Raw genomic sequence first — 5,666 nt, 5'->3', positions numbered from 1 at the left:
TTGCTTTGTTATCATAAATGATTATTAACAGATTGGTTGAGTAGAACTCTCCATGACATGCAATAAGGCCAAATGTAGAAATGTTACACAAAGGTTATTGTAGAATAATCTGGAAGTTTGTAAATGACACTAATAGACCCAGCTGACATTTTCAAAAGATTGGTATTTTTCATAATATATATCATAAAAATATAATAATGATAGGTTTCATATTTTACTGAGTATATTTTCTGTTAAACAAATTTTTTGCATGTTTAAATTTATTTTTTATATTAATGTTGGACATAGCCTTAGAATCCAAAGAAAATAGACCCTGTTTTCTTGATACCTAGATTATACTGCCCTTAAAGCTCTCTTTTTACTATATACTTTGTAGGGGGTTTGTTTTATAAGAGACCTGATTACAGTAGCTTAAGCAAATACAGATTTATTGATATCATGCAAAAATAAATCTATAAGTGAATACACTAAGACTGGAATTCTGCCTCAATAATGACATGAAGGAGCTGGTCTCCTTCTACCTTTTGATACTTTTTTCTTAACAATGACTATTAAACTGTTATTTATCACCAGAATTCCAGGAAAGAAGAAGGAGAAGCCATGGAGTTGGCCCCAGTTGACCTCTGCTTTCCTTTCTTGAGTCAGATGTGTCCCATGGACACTCTCAGGTTCAAAGCAGTTTTTTAAAAAGTTTAAGATTTTTAAAGTTTTCTTGTTTCTATTTTAAAGGCATGGTAAAAAAGCCATATGATGTTGAGTAAGCCAATTGTAGTATCTGTCATACTTTCTTCTGTAATACCAATATATTATTATTACCTCCAAGTTTCTGGCTGACTTTTCTTTTCTACAATGACTGATTTCCCTGGATTAAACTGATAAATGAACATTAAAATAAATGACAAGAGAATGGGGTACATTTTAGGAAAGAAATCTACCAATGGCAGGCTTTGCATTGGTTGGGAAACCCATTTATGGCTTATACACTATCTGCCCTGAGGGGAAGAAAAAACATTAATGGCAGTAAAGAAGATATAAAGAATTTCTTGATTCATTCTGCCTCTTCCCTATGAAATTGGCTTCTCCTAACACAGCTCCAACCTTTGCCAACTATAACCTAAGGCAGCCAGAGGTTTTTTCTTTTCTCCTCTCAGTGAATCCTTATTTGTCTGCATCTATTAATGAGATACAATGAATGTGTAACATGACTGGGGATAGAGGAAAACGGACAGTGTTAATTTTGTGCTGTCATGTACAGTAGGTATTTGTCAAGAAGCATTCTATGTAGAAGATGGAGTCAACATGATTATCATGAGAGACAAATGCTATACACACACACACACACACACACACACACACACACACAAAATCATCCTTAAGTATTACCACACCCAGATAACCTAGCAAAAAAAAAATGATCCTGGTTTCTGAGAATCTGCATTAGATGAATGCCTTCCGGGGCCAGAAAATTTGCTACGGAGTGTGCATGTTGCACTCTAGAGCAATTCTAGTAATGAGTGGAATATATATGTAGCTAAAAACCCATAATACACCTGACTTTATGCTAGACACTGGCCTGGAAGTATGGCTTTCCAAATAAAGTTATATAAAAACAGAACTCTATGGTTTGTATACATCATAGTTCTAATCTAGAACTAAAAATCCAGAGTACACTAAAGTCTACACCGCAAGGAGGTAGTGAAAAGTTACTGTAAAAAAATGTTGTGATAGGTAAATAAAGTTTTAAGTTTTAAGCCTATGCAGAATATCTATAAAAAGAGAATCAAATTACTTGCTTTATTATCTCTAAGCATCATACAATAGAGCTAGAAGAAACATATCATCTCTCCATCCACAGATATATTAAGAAACCTTGATATCCTGAATGTTCCTTTATTCTACTGGGTTGGGGATACTTACAAGTCATTTGTTTATGAAAGTCATAAATTTGTCATAAATTGACAGCCAAGAGATCACATATGGCCCACACATTTATTTTGTTTGATCTACCAAATGTAAAAAATTGAGCCAACATTTTTATTTCAAAAGACAGCAAATAAAAATCCACATTTATAATTTCTCAGTAGCTCTAGCTGCATTAATTTCACATTGTGCTTGTCAGCGCTAACTGGCATTGTGCAGTTCCAGTCTCCTGTAGATTGGCATGTGCTTTATCACACAGGTTGCTTCAGTTATTTATTTAACCTGCCTGGACCCTGCAGAAGCAGACCTGAATATTCAAAAATAAGATAGTCTAATGTGAGATTGGAATAGCCCGAAACTACACATGGAGGAGGTGGTTGGATGAGTGGGATTATTTTTCAGGATGTTCAGTACAATGGAATTAGAGTATAATATTAATAAAATCAGGTTATGAGTCATCAAGGACACAAAATTCTGCTCAATGGAAGTGGAGTACAATATTTGGTTTGTTTCATTTGTTCTCCCTCTCTCTTTATACACACGCACACACACACACATATATATATATAAAATATAGAAAGTTCAAGATATAAATATATAGAGAAAGATATATATATATATAAACAAAAATACACACACACACACACACACACTGAGGGAGAGAGAGGGGAGAGAGAGAGAGAGGGAGAGAGAACAAATAAACCAAATATACTGTATTAGATATTATATATAGTATATAGTACAGTATGTACATACTATATATAGTTTATATATAGTATATAAATGAAATTCATATATAGAGAGATTACATATTATGTATGTATACATATAGAGATTACATATATTATCTATATATAGAGAAATATATATATTCTTCCATGCAAATGCATTTTAATAGTGCATGTATCACTATAAAAAGGCCTTAGTCCTCTATTACAGTATCTACTATGAGCAGTAATTGCATCAGTATATGTGATGGTTAATTTTTTTTTTTTTTTTTGAGACGGAGTTTTGCTCTTGTTACCCAGGCTGGAGTGCAGTGGTGTGATCTCGGCTCACTGCAACCTCTGCCTTCCGGTTTCAAGCGATTCTCCTGCCTGAACCTGCCGAGTGGCTAGGATTACAGGCGCCCACCACCAAGCCCAGCTAATTGTTGTATTTTTAGTAGAGACGGGATCTCGAACTCCTGACCTCATGATCTGCCCACCTCGGCCTCCCAAAGTGCTTGAATTACAGGCGTGAGCCACCGCACCCGGCCGTGATGGTTAATTTTAAGTGCCAACTTCACTAGGTCATAGTACCTACTCTAATTAAAAAAAAAAAAAAGATCACCTCTAAAAGTCTTCTTATGCCACACTCCAGTCAACAGTCCTCATACCACATCTCCTCTGATTTCTACCACTTTAGATTTGTTCGTGTTTTTCAACTGACTATGAATGGAATCACTCAATATGTATTATTTTGTGTCTGGCTTCTTTCACTTAACATCGTATTTTTGAGACTCATGTCATTTGTTGCTTGTATCAGTAGCTAATTATTTTTAATTGCTGAATATTTTCTAACATACAAAATACCACAATACATTTACCCATTCTCTCCAAATATTTTGGTGGTTTTCTTTTTTCAGTCTTAGTAACTTTAGTCACACTTTTGAGTGTGAAATTGTGTGGTTTGGCTTTAATTTGAATTTCCCCGCTATCAAGTGATGTTAACTTGCCAAACAGCAGTAAATAATTGGTTTCAAACTTTGTCAATGTTGAGTAAATTTGAGTTTTGCTCTCACAATTAGAGTAAATTCTTAACCTTGAATATTAGATTTTTTTGTCATTAGGTGAATTATTATTTCTATGCCTCACTTTTGCTCTTCAAGTGTATCCATTTGGTGTACCATTGGAAAGCCTGAGATATTTAGAAACATTCTCTAATTGGTGAGGTTTAAACTATAAAATCTGTCCGTCCTGTAATAGGTAAGAAGCTGAAATCTTGGCCTAACTTTTTGTTTTCCTTGGCTATAATTTAATTTTTATTCTTATAGCTTTATATAGATAGATATATTTCTGTATTAGGGTCTCCAAAGTCAACATCAGGCTCACCGAATCACAAGGACTCAGGTAACTTAGAAAGCTTCTTATACTGACCTTTATGGTTGACTACAGCAAAAGGGTTCAGATTAAAATCAGCAAAAGGAAAAGTCACATGGGAAGAAATCTAAGAGAACTAGGTATAGACTTTCAGATGTCACCCAATGGAGTTGCACAGATGTGCTTCCCAGCAATAATGTGCGGCAATATGTTAGTAGTGCTGCCACCTAGGGAGCTTACTTGAGTCTTGCGGTCCTGGGTATTTTTGTGAGTCATTAGTGCAGGCATGAAGTGAATGGGTCACTGACCGCAGCTACTCAGATTCCAGTGCCCCCTCTCTAAAAACAGAAGAAAAACAAACAGGCACTCACCATAAATCATATTGTTAACATAAATTATCTGATTAAGTTGATACAGTGTGGCCCACAGACTCAGAAATGGAAAAACATTCTTATCAAGCAGAATAATCAAGGACTGTAGATCAAGCAGAAGTCAGTCATGCAGAGAACCTTTTTCTTAGGAGAATGCCGGGTTTGAGGAAACCAGACCTGCTGATCAAACTCTTTCCTCCATAATTTTAGATTCCATAAGAATTAACTAGTTGACATGTACACTTCAGCAGTTGTAAATCTATTCACAGAGTTGTATAAAAAACATGACAATCGAATTTTAAAAATCTTCATCATCCCAAGAAATAACTACGGCTCATTATGTAGGCATTGACCATTCCTGCTTCCCACTCACCAAAACAGCTTCCTATTGCTAATCTAATATCTGTCTGTACGGATCTGTAAGGGTCCCTTTGGTATTCTGGAAACTAGTTCTTTATCAGATATATGATTTGCAAATATTTTCTCAAGCTTCAGATTCTCTTTCCTTCTTTGGATAGTATCTTCTGATATAAATTTTTAAAATTTTGATGAAGCTCAATATGTTTAGTTTTTGTTTCCTCACTTGTACTTTGGTGTCATACTTAAGAAACCATTGCCTAATCTAAGGTCATGAAAATGAATGTTTATACTTCCTTCTTTAGATCTTATGTTTAGGCTTATGATGAACTTTGAGTTAATTGTTGTATTTGGAAAGACGTTTGGGTCCACACTCCTTCTTTTCCATGTGGATAGTCAGTTGTTCCAGCACCATTTTTTAAAAAGACTCTGCTTTCACCATAATTATCTTGACATCCTTGCCAAAAGTCAATTGGCCTTAAACATGAGAGTATATAGTCTATTTCAATATATTGATCCTCATGCTTATACCATATTATGTTTTTAGTTAATATTAGTTTAACTGACGAATCATACTTGTTTTACATTTATGGGGTACAATATGATGTTTTGATACATGTATACAATTTAAAATAACTAAAGCTAATTAGCATATCACCAACTTTCTTCCCTTTTTTTTGAGATGATCTATGTGAAATCAATTCTCCTAGTTATTTTAAAATATACAATACATTATTATTGACTTCAGTCACTCAGCTTTGCAATAGATCTCAAAATGCATTACTCCTCTCTGGCTGAAACACTGTACCCTTTGCCTAGAAACCCCTGTTCCCTGTCCTTTACAGCAACATGAATGGAGCTGGAGGTTATTATCCTATGCGAAGTAACACATGATGTCCTAAGTGACAGAATTCTTTTTTCTTTTTGAGGCTGAGTA

The 5,666-nt window shown here is 34.7% G+C and overlaps 1 annotated feature.

Moving 5' to 3' along the window:
- Window positions 4,200-4,319: a silencer, noted in NCBI's record as "silent region_5392". NCBI's record gives its function as "represses an Ori minimal core promoter by ATAC-STARR-seq in GM12878 lymphoblastoid cells {active_cell/tissue: GM12878}" and the evidence as "EXISTENCE:reporter gene assay evidence [ECO:0000049][PMID:35858748]".

The sequence above is a fragment of the Homo sapiens genome, chromosome 13 (genome assembly GCF_000001405.40).
Source record: "Homo sapiens chromosome 13, GRCh38.p14 Primary Assembly".
NCBI lineage: Eukaryota > Metazoa > Chordata > Mammalia > Primates > Hominidae > Homo > Homo sapiens.
Note: the sequence above shows the minus strand (reverse complement) of the source record. Positions and strands in the feature narration are given on the sequence as shown.